Here is a 16,806-nt window from a genome sequence, read left to right as displayed (position 1 = left end):
GATAACAAATGTTGGCAAGGATGTGGACAAAAGAAACTCTTGTACACTGTTGAAAGGAATGTAAACTAAACAGCCATTGTAGAAAATGTATGGGGATTCCTTAAAAAATTAAAAATAGAACTACCATATAATCCAGCAATACCAATTCTGGGCATATCTCAAAACAAAATGAAATCAGAATCTTGAATAGATATCTGTTCTCCCATGTCTTTTGCAACATTATTCACAATAGCCAACACATGGAAACAACCTAAATTTCTGATGACAAATGAATGGATAAAGAAAATGTGGTGCATGCACACACATACATACATACATACACACACATACACACACACAAATATTGCCAAGTTTTAAAAAATAAAGGAAATCCCATCATTTGCAACAACATGGATAAAGCTGGAGGACATTATGTTAACTGATATAAGCCAGAAACAGAAAGGCAAATACTGCATGATCTTATTTGCATGTAGAATCTAAAATATTCAAACTCATAGAACCAGAGAGTAAAATGGTGGGTGTCAGGACTGGGGAGGGAAAAGGGAAATGGGGAGATGTTTATCAAAGGGTATAAAAGAGTACAGTGATACAAGATGAATAAGTTCTAGATAGCTAATGTACCGCAATGTGACTATGGTTAACAATATTGCATTATTTACTTTAAATTTGCTAATTTGGTAGATTGTAAGTGTTCTCACCAAAAAAAAAAAAAAAAGAAAGAAGATGATAATTATGTAAGGTTATTTTATGTGAATTAGATTGATTGTGATTTCACACAATTATTGCAGTAATTTCACAACAAATATATCAATGTACAACAAATGTATTAATATATCAAGTTGTATACCATAAATATATAGAATTTTTATTTGTCAATTATATGTCAATAAAGCTGAAAATAATAGTGAAAGAAAAACATTGCATGAAGGAGATACAGCTCACTAGATTTAAGAATGACCTAATGGAATGCAGACCAGGAATTCTAGTGTTTAAGGGTCGGAAAGACGAGGACTAGAGTCAAGATTAGACTAAGGGCGCCAGCTCTGGAGACCTCTCATCAGTGCCTGTCTGTCTATCACACAGAACATGGGACTTTTCTTTGTCTTGCTCCATTGTACACATTGAGGCCACCTCAGCTCAGAGCTGTGTGCCTTCATGAGGGTCCCCCATCCACAGAGAGATGCTTAACCTAGTGTGTTTTTCTAGAAAGAGATGGATATGAGTTTAAAACACTAATCAGGGCTGACTGATCTTTGCCAGATTAAAAATGGAAATGTCCACTCAGGAAACAGGATAGGGATTCTATGGAGGTAAACGTTCTTGGAGGACTATTTGTTGTTGTTTGTAACACATGACAGACACTTGCAAGAGCACCAGAAAGTGAAGCCAAAGGAGCAATGAGCTAAGTGGTGGCACTGGGGCTTGGTGGACAAGGAGATGGGTGATTGGGGAAATGACAGTTTTGAATGTAAGACCCTTGTTTCGCTATGTATGCTTTAAACATTTATGTGCTATATTATATTAAACAATAGTTGAGATAATGTTTATAATTTGAGATAATATTAAAATGGTAATGGTCAATGACCGGCTCAGAAATCCATCTGGGTGCGTGTGTTGGAGCCAGTAGCCCAGATCACTGTAAAGAGAAATTTTCCTGCAAGAAACAGACATCTGAACTTTACCAGGAGCTGCTTTGTCCTCAGTTCCAAGGACACAGTGAGAAAATGGCCTCTATGAGGAAGCAGACAGTCATTAGACACCAAATCTGCCAGCACATTGATCTTAAGACTTCCCAGCCTCCACGAGTGTAAGAAATACATTTCTGTTTTTATAAGCCACCAGTTTAAGGTATTGTGTTATAGCAGTCCAAAGGTATGTGGATAATAACCAATGTACTTTTTAAAAATATGTGGCTGGTCTTGATGGCTCATGCCTGTAATCCCAGCACTTCGGGAGACCGAGGCGGGTGGATCACGAGGTCAGAAGTTCGAGACCAGCCTGGCCAACACGGTGAAACCCCGTCTCTACTAAAAATGCAAAAATTAGCTAGGCGTGATGGCACATGCCTGTAATTCCAGCTACTCGGGAGGCTGAGGCACGAAAATCACTTGAACCCGGGAGTCAGAGTTTGCAGCGAGCCAAGATTGTGCCACTGCACTCCAGCCTGGGCAACAGACCGAGACTCTGTCTCAAAAAATAAAATAAAATATATAATCTGCTTAATTGAAGTTTATATGTTTTAAGGTTTAATGATGATTATAATTTAAAAGTGGCTCACAAAATCAAAGAAAATTAAAAAATGGCTAGAGAACACCCTGCAGGTTTAAAAAATTAATTCTCATGGTTATGAGATTAAATGAGATTCCAGCTAGAAACAGTATTGGCTCACCTTGAAAATAAACTACCCATAGAGTCCTTGAGGAACAGAAGACCCATCCACCAAATAAGCTTTCCTGTGGATCATTTAGGAAAGAGCCCATGCTAACAGGGAGACAGTCTAAGTACAGGACTGTTTCCAGGACAGGGGTTTAATGATCTGCAAAGAACAATGTTCTCGCAAAGAACAATCACTCAAATGTGCCCTGGCTAAGCCCCCATAGATAGACATCGGGTCAAAGACAAAGGAACTCTAAAAAATAAAAACAAGGCCAGGCATGGTAGCTCATGTCTGTAATGCCAGCACTTCGGGAGGCTGAGGTGGGCAGATCACCTGAGGCCAGGAGTTCAAGACCAGCCAGGCCAACATGGTGAAACCCCATCTCTACATTAGCTGGGCATGGTGGCGCGTGCCTGTAGTCCCAGCTACTCAGGAGGCTGAGGCAGGAGAATCGCTTGAACCCGGGAGGCAGAGGGTGCAGTGAGCTGAGATTGCACCATTGCACTCCAGCCTGGGCAACAAGAGCAAAACTCTGTATCAAAAAAATAAATAAAAACAAAGTTAAAAAAAAAAGAAAGCAAATAAATAAAACCCTTTACTTTTATGCTCACTCTCTCAACATCTTCAGATCTTCTCTCAGTTGGTGTTGCTTTGGGAAGAGACCTGCAGAGGAACAAATAACCCAGCAAAGACAGCCATCCTTACTACAGCGTGGTGGATATGGAGTTGAGTAAGACGTTATTTCTGGAGCACAGACCCAGGCCAGTCAGCACAGTGTGGGAGATGGAGGCATTTAATGTGAGGGTTTCATAGAAAACTGCAGAAATGGTACTGAGCAGATGGATCCTATTGCTCTGTCCCTGCCATTGAAAAGTTGGAAAGAGTCACCATGCAGGACCATATCACACAGGAAAAGAAGAAGCTGCCATTGTCCCTAGACAATTAACCAGAGAGCATGTTTCTTTTGCATTTCATTGTTGGAGGGGAGAGGGGCTGAGAGTGGATGAAATTCTCAAGGCCATGTTGCATGAAGCCCTCTTCTGCACAGGGTAAGGAAGCACCTTCATAGCGAGAGAGAGCCTGAGAGACCAGGGCAGGTTTTGGTCTCATTACGCATGAACTTGGACCACTGTGGAAATTGTAGCTGCCTGCATATGAGCTGCAGTAATAATCAGCCTCGTCCTCAGCCTGGAGCCCAGAGATGGTCAGGGAGGCCGTGTTGCCAGACTTGGAGCCAGAGAAGCAACCAGGGGCCCCTGAGGGCCAATTACCGACATCATAAATCATGAGTTTGGGGGCTTTGCCTGGGTGCTACTGGCACCAGGAGACAAGGTCATAACCCCCAATGTCACTGCTGGTTCCAGTGCAGAAGATAGTAACCTACTGTCCAGGAGACCTGGACACTGAGCGAGGCTGAGTCAGAACAGACTGGGCCCAGGACCCTGGAAAGAGGGAGAAATACACTCTGGTGAGTCAGTGCTGGGCCCAGGTGAGTCTGAGGAGCAGGAGACCAAAGATCAGCCCAGAGGTCCCCAAGGCCCCTTCCCTGGAGGCGTCACCTGTGCCCTGAGTGAGGAGGGTGAGAAGGAGCAGAGCCCAGGCCATGGTGGAGACGTCCCGAGAGAGCGCTGCCTCCTGAGACCCCAGCGCTGGGCCTACCCCCAGACTTGTCTTATCCCCTCTGCCTCAGAGGAGGGTGGGGCCTTCATGCAAATCTGCACCCTGAGCTCCTCTCCTCACCCCACTCTCACCTGGGCCGGGCTCAGAGACTTCTGCTTCCCTGGACAGCGGGGCTCAGCTGAGGAGATTAAAACTTGTTGTCTATTCTGATGGTAGGAACTTGATTCCTTTGTACCTAATTTCCTCAAGAGAGAAAGATCTGCTGAAGTCCCTCATCTGAGTGAGCTCCTGGCCCTCAGTGTCTCTGCTGTGTTGTGCCTGTGTCTCTGTGAACCTCCAGGCCTGGGCCACGCCATGGTGCCCTCTGCTTGGCACCCACCTCCAGGCTCTCTAAACTGTGAGGAAATGGGGGTGCCCACCCCATGGAAACCCCTGCTGTGTGTTGTTGGTCTCCCATCTCTTCAGCTGCAGCCTTGTCCCATCCCCACCCCCACCCTTCATGCCGAAGCATCTGCAGCATCAAATCCCTTGAGCACATTAGTCATTCTAGGTCATTCAGGGGCACACGTGGGAGGGGCCTGTGGAGGAAACAAGGAGCAATGGAGCCACAGTCCGCTGCTCCCAATCCTGCCCTTCCCACTCATGAGCAGGTGACTTGTCCTTTTCAGCCTCTGGTTCTCAGCCTGAGAACTGAGGACCACAGGGCCCACCCACTGCCCATGCAGAGGATCTATAGAGAGATGAGTGTGAGGTGGAAAATGAAAGCTTCTAAAATGGGCCATTTCTAGCCTAGTAAGAGCCTTTTTTTTTTATATAGACTTCATACTTATCTAAAGATTTCAGACCGAGCGTGATAGCTCACGCCTGTTATCCCAGCAGTTTGGGAGACTGAGGCAGGAGGATCGCTTGAGGGCAGGAGTTCAAGACCAGACTGGCCAACATGGCAAAACTCCACTTTTACTAAAAATACAAAAATTAGCCAGGCATGGTGGTGCGTTCCTGTAATCCCAGCTACTCGGGAGACTGAGGCAGGAGAATCACTGGAACCCGGGAGGCAGAGGTTGCAGTGAGCCAAGATTAGGCCACTGCACTCCAGCCTGGGTGACAGAGCAAGAGAGCAAGACTCTGTAAAAAACTATATATATATGAAACATATGTATGAAACATATATGAAACATATATATGCAATATATATGAAACATATATATGCAATATATATATGAAACATATATATGGCTATATATATGAATATTGCATATATATGTTGCAATATATATATGAAACATATATATGAAATGTATATGAAACATATATATGAAATGTATATGAAACATATATATGAAACATGTATATGAAACATATATAAGAAACATGTATATGAAACATATATATATGAAATATTTCATTCAACTTTATCTTTTATTTTTTTCCTCATATTACAAAGAAGTGTTATTTCTGCTTTCTGGGTTTTCTTCCATCTCACTGTATCCACAAGCTACAATAAACCAACTTTTTGGCCGGGCATGGTGGCTCACCCCTGTAATCACAGCACTTTGGGAGGCCGAGGTAGGTGGATCACCTGAAGTCAAGAGTTTCAGACCAGCCTGACCAAGATGGTGAAACCCCGTCTCTACTGAATACAAAAAATTAGCTGGTGTAGTGGTGCACGCCTGTAATCCAGCTACTTGGGAGGCTGAGGCAGGAGAATCGCTTGAACCTGGGAGGCAGTGGTTGTAGTGAGCCGAGATTGCACCATTGCACTCCAGCCTGGGCAACAAAAGTGAAACTCCATCTCAAGAAAACAAAAAACAAAAACAAAAACAAAAAACAACTCTTCTTAATCAAGGAGCACATAAGAAACACAGGGGCCGGGTGTGGTGGCTCATGCCTGTAATCCATCACCTTGGGAGGCTGAGGCGGGTGAATTGCTTGAGCCCAGGAGTTCGAGACCAGCCTGGCTGGGCAACATAGTGAGACCTCCTCATCTCTATTTTTAAAATTAAATTAAAAAAGATAAATAGAGTAAACATAGAACCAATGTGAAAATATTTCTCTCTGTTTCTTTCCTCAAATCACTTTTAAAACTCTTTCATCTTTTGATGTTTTCCACTGCCTGTGATTCAGATTGATTTAATTTTCACGTTTAGAATATTATTACTGTTTTCAGGTTCCATTTCGGATGCAGTGGCATATACCACATTTTCTCCAAGCCCAGCTGTAAAACCTGGGACAGAATCCATGGAGCATCAATTTGATTACTTGGAAAAGCAAATCACTGGAGGCAGACTAGGGGAGATACTAGCACTTTTAGTAAAATCAAACCAGCAGAGAGCTTCCCATTTTCCCCCAGTGTCCTGTGGCCTGCACTCAGGGCAGACCAATACCTGGAAGGGGTACCAGTGTGCAGCCACAAAAGTTCCAGAAGAAGCTCCACTGTTCTGGCTTGAAGATGAGAAAGGAAACCCCTAGTGCTCAGGGCAAATTTGAAATGTCCACGTTTTCCTTTTCTTATGTTTGTTCTTCTCTCCATTCTACATGATCCAGCCTCCAGGAAATTCTTCGTGGTGACAGCAGGGACAGTAGAGACTGTGCGGACTTTCTTTTCTCATCTTTGGAGCTGATTTCCAAGACAGTGGCACTTAATCCCCTTACCTTTGTTACTCTTTGTCCTCTTGGTGTTTGGTGTGGACACGGACTCAGTTGCAGGAAGTGCACAGCACCGCAGGCTTATTAAAGTCACAGTTTTTTCACCAGAAACCAAAAGGGAAAGTCTGGGGAACCATAAATAATGGGCAGACTGTGGAGAGAAATAAGTTTGAGGGGGAAAAAACCCTGTAAATTCCTTATGAAATCTTGGGCACAACTCTGAGCTACGTGTGCATGGATCTGATCCAAAATAGAATAAAAAAGGCTCAGGGAACAGAATCAAGGAAGAGACCTCGGACCAGATCCCAGATGACCACTGTGGAGTGATCCAGGCACTCTGTTTCCCAGGGACCAAAGGCAGAGCTGGGGACTGTTTATTCCCACTCAATACCTTCTAGGTTCTCTCAGAATGACCCTCAAATACCTCTGTCCTCTTTCTATGCAGTGCTCTGAGGCTGGGGGCTGAGGCTATTTATTAGCCTTTCTAGAAACGAACATATTGGGACACAACATATTTTGGACATTCCACTCCCCACTTCTCCCTTAGAAGGGTCTCAGGAGGAAGCAGCCCATGGAGCTTCATACACTCCCTGGTTAAACCACAGCAATTCCCTTCCCCAAATCCAAGCCCTTGCCGCCCCCTGGTGGCCTCAGATGGAGGAGCCCAAGCCCCAGGGAGGCGGCTGAGTGGATCTGGAAATCCCTGTCCTGCTCCTGCCCCTTCCCGTTCCTTCCCATCCCAGCTCAGGACCAGGCCTCCTGGTCCCTTCTAATCCCCCCCAGGCTCCTGGCCCTTGGTCCTCTGGCTTCCTCCAGGATGGATGCACCTTCTGCCACACCAGGGGCCCAGACCCTCCCCCGCAGAACCTCTTAGCTTGTCCCAGGGCAGCCTAGTCACAGCGTTAGTGCACCTGAGGCAGCTCTAGAGGCTCAGGGTTACAGAAATATTGTTAGATGGTAAATAAAACCAACCCCAGGAGGAAGGCTGAATGAGAAAAATGGTATGAGGAGACATTGATCAGCTTATCAAAATGGTTTGAAAGAAAGACTAGTTCTAGTTCATGAAGGACAAAGAGCACAGTCAGACTTGAGAACAACTGAATGGACAGCCAGAGGTGAGTTTTTGAATTTGAGGACATGGGAGAAGGGTCAGGGGTCAGGCTGGGGCTAAGGGTTCCAGCTCCAGGGGCCTCTCATTAGACATTAAAGTGATAAGCGGCCCAACGCAGTGGTTCACGCCTGTAATCCCAGCACTTTGGGAGGCCAAGGTGGGCGGATCTCTTGAGTCCAGGAGTCTGAGACCAGCCTGGGCAACATGGCAAAACTCTGTCTCTACCAAAAAAATTTTAAAAATTAGCCGGACATGGTGGTGCATGCCTGTGGTGGTCCCAGCTACTAGGGAGGCAGAGGTTGCAGTGAGCCAAGATCATACCACTGCACTTCAGCCTGAGTGAGAGAGGGAGACCCTATCTCAAAAAAAAGAAAGAAAGAAAAGAAAAGACAAAAAGATAGGTGTAACCCCCACCCAATAACTCAGTTTTCTTTCTCTCTATGAAGTTCTAGAACTCTCAGCATCCCTCCAGTTCAATTCAGATTGACTCTTGCTTTTCCAAAATAAATATCTTGCTAATCTGCCTCCAAAAAATTTTTTTGAGTTATAGGAAAAATTTTTAGTGTACATGAAAGTTAAGTAGAAATATCACCTAAATTCTCACAAACCTATGAAACTATTGTTTCATTTTAGGAACCATCCCACCAGATTTCTTGCCATACTTAAATGTGATGTTTACAAATATGAATTATGTATCTTCCATAAGGATGAACATAGTAAGTTTTGTTCATTTTTCTATCTCTAGCCATAAAAGGTTATTTGGCATATAGTAGACCTTTGGTTAATATTACTGGAAACAATTAGTGATGTATAAATTGAATCAAGGTAACTAAATATATATGATTTTACATAAATAGGATCATATTATACAATCAGGTTTATGAATTGCATTTTGTACCCAAATATTACAGACATCATGATCTTGTTACTTGTATCTTGTCTGTCTTCTCCAAAAAATCCCCATGAGTCCAAACAAAGCACTTTATGTGTTTCCCTCAAACCTGTTGCTCTCCCATCTGTCTCTCTCTTAATAAAAGAAAGTAGTAGCCACGCCATTGACAAAGTCAAACTTCCAGGAGTCAACAACTCTTTGCTTCATGCCCCATATTCAATCCAAGAGCCAATCTGCCAACTCTAATGGTGAATCTCCCAGTCACTCTCCATGACTCTACATGGGACAAGCTTCACTCTCTTGTGCCCAAAGGCCATAAAATGCTCTGCCTGCTTCAATTTTTCTTCCATAAATTTCATACACCATGAATGTTAAATTTCATTCATTTAACACATCAATCACTTCATGTAAAAATGATGGAAGATCTTCAAATAAATTCTCTTTTCATTAACAAAAACATCCAGCCATTTGCCTCTGCTTTCAAGTGATCTGTCTGCACATGATCTGTTGGCTGCCTGTAAGTCCCCTCTCATCTCCTTCCTCTCTTTCCCCAGTCCCACTGGATTTCTTTCTGTTCTTTCAATTATCAAGTTTCTCTCTACCTCAGGGCCTTTGCACAGGCCATTCCTCTGACTGGAATTATCATATCTTCATGTGTTGCATGCCTGCATCCTACTGAGGACACACAAATGCACCCAACAATCCACTCAATAATACCTGCTTGTTGAATGAATGAAGGAGACAACTTAAGTAGGAAGGCTAAGCTATTGGCCTCACCCAAACAGTCTCCAAGCCACATTTAGGCATGTTAGAAAAAAAACTTCCCAGAAAGGTCTGATTGTGGATACCAATTAGACAATTAGAAATAAGTGTGGTTTTTTGTTTTGTTTTTTAGAGATGAGCTCTCACTATGCTACCCATGCTGGTCTTGAGCTCCCGGCCTCACAATCCTCCAGCCTCAGCCTCCTTAGTAGCTGGGATTATAGGCAAGCACCACAACTCTGCTAGAAATAGGTTTTGATGCAATTATCTGTTCCTTTAGCAAACGTCACACTCAGTGCACTGTTTTTACCCTCTTGCTCACTCTCTGCAGTCATCCCATGACTTAGAGGAGGAAGAGGCATGGGATCTGATCTTTCCCACTTTATCCTTTCCTGAAAAACACAATTGTGGTTGCGGAGAAAGCGGAGGACTTACTCATCCCTGCTCTGAATGGGGAGGGTGAGGAACGGATTCCAGCCAAGCTGGGAAATATCCAACATCTTCCTTCACAAGGACCAAAGGCAAGGCAGGGGACCTCTCATTCCTACTCAACCTCTCCAAAGGGTGGATGCTCACACATCTTTCTCACTGTCCTCAGCCCCTACAGTGGCCTGAGACTGAGGCCTGGGGATGTTTATTGGCCTAATCAGAGAAGGCACTGAGTGGAGACAAAAGACTTGCAAGTTCATCCCCTTTGGAGTCCCTGGAGAGAACAAAGCTCTTGGGACCGCCTACAAGTAGGATAAACCGCAGTAGTACCTTGGGGCCATTAGAGTCCTCAAACTCATACCCTTCCTGTCCCCTGGTGGCTTAGATGGGAGGGTCTAGTCACAAGAACAACTGAAGGAGGCCCAGTCATCCGTGTTCTGCTTCCTCTGCACCCTTCCCTCTTTCCCTCCCAAATCTAAGTTTGCTCCTTCTCCCTCCCCTTGTTTACCCTTCTGATCTATGCAGTGCTCCCTCCCTGGTTCCTCGCCCCAGAATGGAATGTGTCACCTGCCATGACTGCTGGCCCAGGTTCTCCAGGCAAAGGGCCATTCGCTTGCCCCAGGGACCCCACTCCACGGGTCGGGTCGCTGCTTGGGAGGTAGGTCTCAGTTCCAGGCCAGAGAAACATTGGATATAAATTGAAGACAACCCTGGTAGTAGGACTGGAGGAGAGAAATGAGACAAAGAAACCCTTTTAGAGTCTCAAAATGTTTGAAATAAAACTTCAGGAGGGAAGAGAGAGAGATCAGGCTGGACTGAGGCTATTCCAGGGCCCACATAAAGAATCTTCCTTCTCAGCAAGTGGGAAGATGTTGGACAATGCTCAGAGGAAGCTTGACCCAAGGGTCTAGATCCAAGGACCTCTCATGAGAGTGGAGTTCTGTTTGAATACACGAGATTCTGGGTCCTCCTTTTGCTGTCACCAATGTCCATCTTTGGAGTCACAAATCAGAGCAGTTCACTAACCTGGAGCGAGGTCTTCCACCCATGGGATGATGCATGATTTCCGTATGTTTTTCTACAAGGACTTGGAAGCAGCGTATAGTAGATTGAATGGCTCCTCCAAAGATACCAGGTGTAATCATTTAGAGGTCTTTGTTTTTAGTCACTCAGTTTATGGTTTGGTCATTTATCACAGCAACTACAGTGAATTAATCCTTGGGGTAAATATCCTACTCTGGAATGACTAGACATTGCAAGTTAGGCTCTTTCAGAAACTTGTTAATGGGGTTTGACCCTTCTTCCTTACTTCCCTCTGAAAATATAGATTAAAAGCTAGGCCGGAAGCTATGGCTCATACCTGTAATCCCAGCAATTTGGGAGGCTGAGGCAGGAGGATCACTTGAGGCCAGGAGTTCGAGACTACTCTGGATAACCTAGTGAGACCCCCCCATCTCAACAAAAAAATAAAAAATAAGCTAAAAAGATTAGAAGCTGTCCCTTTCTTGGTGGCTTATGCATCTTGCCCCGAGAGGTGCCATGCTATACTGACTGACTCCATCATTCAATGTCAGGTGCCTTGCTGCCACTTCATCTTTTGCCACACACCTGGCTCCTATGCTTAAGCCCTGACAATGTGACACTATCACTGCATGGTCCTTCCATCCGTATTGCTATCAACTTCCTTACCAGCTTCCCCTGCTGGCCTGGTCTAGAGAACTACCCACTGAGTTTCTCAAGGATGCTGGATTTCTCTCACCAGTGCACCGCTTATCAATCAATTACAGACTGCAGTCCCCAGGCCCTCCTGAGAATTCTCTCACTTGGGGAGATGTCCATGAGTACCTGGTATTGCCTTTCCAGCTAAGCACTCTCAGAACCCTTCTCTCTCTCTCTCTCTTTCTTTCTTTTCTTTTCTTTCCTTCTTTCCCTCTCTCTCTCCCTTCCTTCCTTTCTTTCTCCCTCTCTCTTTCTTTCTTTTCTTTTTTCTTTCTCTCCTTCCTTCCCTTCCTCCCTTCCCTTCCCCTTCCTTCCTTTCTTTCTCTCCATCTCTCTCTTTCTTTCTCTCTCTCTCTCTCTTTCTTTTTTTCAGGGTCTCACTCTGTCGCCCAGGCTGGAACAGCTGGCTACAGTCTTAAACTCCCCAGGCTGAAGCAATCCTCCTACCTCAGACTCCCTAGTAGCTGGGACTACAGGAGTGTGCCACCATGCCTGACTAATTTTTTTTAATCTTTTGTACAGACAGGGTCTCACTATATTGCCCAGGCTGGTCTTGATCTCCTAGCCTCAAGCCATTCTCCCACAGTGGCCTCCCAAGGTGCCGGGATTACAGGCATAAGCCACCACACCTGGCCTCCCAGGACCTTTTGATTCCTCTCCCACCATCTGCCACAGCACATCTGGCATTATGACCTTGCTTGGTACGGACCATTGCTTTCTCTGTCCTCCTAAGGGCAATCCTTGCGGCGGGCTTGCGGAATGCCTCAATGTCTTTGCTAGGGGGTTAAAGCCTGCGTCCCAGGAGAGTGCTTCCAGCAGATAAACCCTCCCCAATCCAATCTTAGGTTTTGCACTTTGATCTTACACCCTCAGAATCCAGCCCCATACACACTCGCCTGGGGCCCACTGCACGTGTTGGCTGGTTCTGGAGCTCCTTAGTTCTGCAGCAGGTCTATCACATTCCTTGCCAGGTTTCTTTGGGACTCAATTCTAGTTATTGGTCCATTGGTCTTAATAGGAGGTGGTGGCAGATTTCTGGGGACACTTGTGGTGGTGGATACAATCTCACAGGTCAGAGGTCTCTGCATCATCTTCAGGCAAAAGGAAGGGAGACATGGGTTTCAATGAGTAAGGGAGGGCCACTTCTGCAGGTTTGGAAAATTCAAGGACATCAAGATTTTCAGGTGCGTGAATCCAGATGGCCTCGTCCCGTGACTCAGTACCCCACTGTTACCCTGTCAGGGTCCCGATGGTCTGCTACACTTAGGATTAAGTTCTGGGCTTCAGTCTTCCCTGCCCTCTGTCCAAGCAGATGAGAGGGCAGGGAAGGCTCAGGCCCAGAGGAAGAGTGCAAGCCAAAAAGCTTTTCCAGCCCAAGATGAAGCTTTTTTTCAGCCCAGGGGGAAGCTTTTTTTTTCAGCCCAGGAGGAAGCTTTTTGGCTTGCGCTCTGATGGAGTTAAAAATGTACCAGTCTATGGATTAACAAAATGTGGCACATATACACCATGGAACACTATGCAGCCATAAAAATTGATGAGTTCATGTCCTTTGTAGGGACATGGATGAAGCTGGAAACCATCATTCTCAGCAAACTGTCACAAGGACGAAAAACCAAACACCGCATGTTCTCACTCATAGGTGGGAATTGAACAATGAGAACACATGGACACAGTGGGGGAACATCACACACCGGGGCCTGTTGTGGGGGGAGGGGGGAGGGATAGCATTAGGAGATATACCTGGTGTTAAATGACGAGTTGATGGGTGCAGCACACCAACATGGCACATGTATACATATGTAACTAACCTGCATGTTGTGCACATGTACCCTAAAACTTAAAGTATAATAAAAAAAAAAAGAAAAGAAATAAAAAAGTACCGGTCTAGCAAATTGACTATTTAAGTAAAAGGCACTTGAAAACACCAGTTGCAAAAAGATCATTCTGCTGTTTTCTGTTTCTTAAAAGCAGAAGACAAAAGTCCCATGTGAAAAACCCTGTCCCTCCCTATGCTAGAAGGAAAAGCAACATTCTTATCCTCAGGGATGAGAAGTCAAAACTGAGATACTGCTGAACAGACCTTATTATAATAACTTTTATCTTTTAAGCAAAATCAGTGTGGACTGGGAAAATTCCAGGAAGCCTCTAAAAGATTTTCTCTTCTCAGCAGCTGGGAAGAAGTTGGATGGGGCTCAAAGGAATCTCAGCCCAAGAAACCTGTCATCAGAGTGGAGTCCTATTTGGATACACCAGATTCTGGGGCTTTTTTCCCCACATATTTTAGTCGTTTCTTCACAACTGACTATTCTTTGACCAATTCCTTATATAAGTAACTGACTCTAACTGCTTCTTTGGGTCTTCATTTCCTTGTGAGGGCTCCTGTGCCATGTGAAACTTGTATTAAGTAAATTTGTATGTTTTGTCTCCTGCGAATCTGTTTTATGTCAATTCTTGAGCCCAGCTGGTACCCTAAGAGGATGGAGCTGGAGCCTTGTTGCCCCACATCTTCTAGTTTTTCATTGCTAATTAATCATTCCAGCATTTTATCTGTTGCAAATCATCAATCACACTTAGTATCAGTGCTACCACACTGTTCCAACAGAGAAAGCTGTGGAATTGGTTCCTTTAATGTTCTGTTTTCTTCACGTCTCTCAAATGTCTGACTCATGGTCCTGCTTTTTCATTTCCTCCTATAGGTAAATCATCCCTATTCACCACTGGTAAAAAGTTTACACACTGCATTGCTCCACCATGGTAGGGGCTATATGCGCATCTACCCTCGCGCCCCTACCTCCAACTCCCCCATATTGGGGTCTCCATGGCTCCAGAATCCCATCTCTCAAGTGTCTCCTTTCATAGACATTCCTGGTCCTAAGATAACTCAGGACTGTCCTGTTTTAGCACTGAAAGATCTATGTCCTGGGAAAACCTTCGGTCCAGGGCAAACAGAGACAATTGGTAATCTTCCTGGAAACAATGGTCACAAGCTGGGTCTCCTGGAAACAGAAGTTAAGGCGGAGATGAGCACACAGAGTTTTATTAGGGAGTGCTTTGGGCATCGCCTGGAATCTGCCTGGTGAGCAGATCCCTCCAGGGTAGGCAAGTTCAGGAGAGCATTTGCAGGTGAGGGCTGACTTCTGGCTGCATCACACTTTTGTCCTGACAGGGGATCTGGGACATTGGCCTTGACATTGGCCCATCAGCAAATGGCAGATTTCACTTTCCTCAATCAATGAGCTGGGAATAAGAAGTCCTGTGGAGTGTGAAGCATATAAAGCATTTCCAGTAAAATGCCTAACACATTTAAAACTTACAAGCATGTGAACTGCTGCTCAATTGGGGAAAAGCCTCAGATATTTGAGGGAAGGGACTTCAAAGATCCTGTGTCTTTGGTTTTAGGCATGTTTTGAAATCAGCGTGTCATCAGAGGAAGAATAACATCAATAAAATACCTGTAGGTAAATAACTGGACCAGAAGCCCGCTAGACTGGAGGTGTGTGCTGGATTAGGGCCCAGCCTCCATCACCTGTGGTCCACAAGGGAAAGCACTAGAAGGTGCCAGGTAGTTCCTGAAGGAAGTAAACAGATGGTTTCTCTATGTAATCAGTTATTGCCAGAAGATTTTTAGGCATTCCAAGATGCAGGAATTACCATCCTATTTGATTTTTTCTTGAAGAATTTTCCTACACAATCAGTCATAAATAGACACAAGCAGCATGGTTGATGCAAATTAGGAGACAAAATGATAATTTGCAATAGATATAATGTATCACCTATAACCAAAGTTAATATACTGGAGAATGTACAAAAATAATTTCCTGCATACCAAGGTTTACCAGTGAGAGGGCAAGGAAGCCTTGCACAGTACAAATCAGAATGGTACCATATATAGAGAAGATGTCAAAATGTATGGTACCTTAGCTATATCAGATTCCCATTGTTGCTACAACAAGTTGTCAAAAACTTAGGGGCTTAGAATAACAGCAATTTATTTTCTTGCAGTTCTGAGAATCTAAAATCCAAAAGAAGGCTTACAGAACTGAAATAAAATTATCAGCAGGACTGGTTCCTTCTGGAGGTCCCAGGGGAGAATCTGTTTCCTTGACTCTTCCAGCTGCTAGATACTGCTGGCATTGCTTGGCTTGTAGCTGCATCATCCCACCGCTGTTCATGTCTCCTTTTCTGTCCTCAAATCTCCCCCTGCCTCCCTCTCGAAAGGACATCTGTGACTACATTTAGGGCCCATTGCATAATCCAGTATAATGTCTCCCTCAAGATCCTTAATTACATCTGCAAAACCCCTTTTCTCATATAAAGTAATGATATAGCTTGGATATTTGTCCCCTCCAAATCCTATGTTATGTTCTGTGCTCCCAGAGGTTAAGAAAAAGAAAAAGAATGATCCTGGCTAACACGGTGAAACCCCGTCTCTACTAAAAATACAAAAACAAAATTAGCCGGGTGTGGTGGCGGGTGCCTGTAGTCCCAGCTACTAGGGAGGTGGGAGAATGGCGTGAACCGGGAAGGTGGAGCTTGCAGTGAGCTGAGATCACGCCACTGCACTCCAGCCTGGGTGACAGAGCGAGACTCCAAAAAAAAAAAGAAAAGAAAAAAAAGAAAAAGAAAAAGAAGGTGGGAAGTTTTGGGGTCATGGGGGCAAATCCCTCGTGAATAGCTTGGTGCCCTCCCTGTGGAGATCAGTGAGTTCATTCATGAGAGAGCTGGTTGTTTAAAAGAATGTGGCACCTCTCCTCTCCCTCTTGTTCTGCCTTTTGCCATGTGATGCCTCCTCCCCCTTCCACCAAGATTGAAAGCTTTCTGAGGTCCTTACCAGAAACAGATGTGGGCACCATGCTTCTTGTACAGTCTGCAGAACCCTGAGCCAAATAAAACTCTTTTCTTTATAAATAACCCAGACTCGGTTATTCCTTTACAGCAATGCAAAACGGACAAAGACAGGCAGTATTCACAAGTCCCAGGAATTAGGACCTGAATATCATTGAAAGCCACGACTCAGGCTACCCTACCAGCCTTCAAGTCTTACTGAGGCACAGAAAGGAAACATTCTGAGGTGTTGTTCCCAGGATGCTTTGCACAACAGCACACTGACATATTCCAGAAACAAAAGCTGTCCATATCTAATTTTTAAAAGCCACTGTAGTATGATCTTTCTGTCCTCCTTTTCTTGAAAAAGCATTCTAGACTAAATATTCGTGTCCCCCCAAAATTCATATGTTGAAACCTAACCCC

At 44.6% G+C, this 16,806-nt stretch overlaps 1 pseudogene and 1 further gene, besides 1 other annotated feature; both read right to left on the bottom strand.

Moving 5' to 3' along the window:
- The window catches only part of IGL (immunoglobulin lambda locus), an 896,838-nt gene that overhangs the window by 339,090 nt on the left and 540,942 nt on the right, over positions 1 to 16,806 (bottom strand).
- On the bottom strand, positions 3,512 to 3,982 carry IGLV2-34 (immunoglobulin lambda variable 2-34 (pseudogene); annotated as a pseudogene). The gene is given in 2 exon segments: positions 3,512 to 3,819; positions 3,937 to 3,982. Coding segments are annotated over 2 exon segments (354 nt in total).
- Positions 9,808 to 10,342: an enhancer, noted in NCBI's record as "NANOG hESC enhancer chr22:22915922-22916455 (GRCh37/hg19 assembly coordinates)". NCBI's record gives its function as "activates a minimal SCP1, AML or CMV promoter by ChIP-STARR-seq in naive and primed H9 embryonic stem cells {active_cell/tissue: H9 hESC(naive and primed)}" and the evidence as "EXISTENCE:reporter gene assay evidence [ECO:0000049][PMID:30033119]".

Source organism: Homo sapiens, chromosome 22 (genome assembly GCF_000001405.40).
Source record: "Homo sapiens chromosome 22, GRCh38.p14 Primary Assembly".
In the NCBI taxonomy this organism is placed as follows: Eukaryota; Metazoa; Chordata; class Mammalia; order Primates; family Hominidae; genus Homo; species Homo sapiens.
This window is presented reverse-complemented; position numbering and strand designations above follow the sequence as displayed.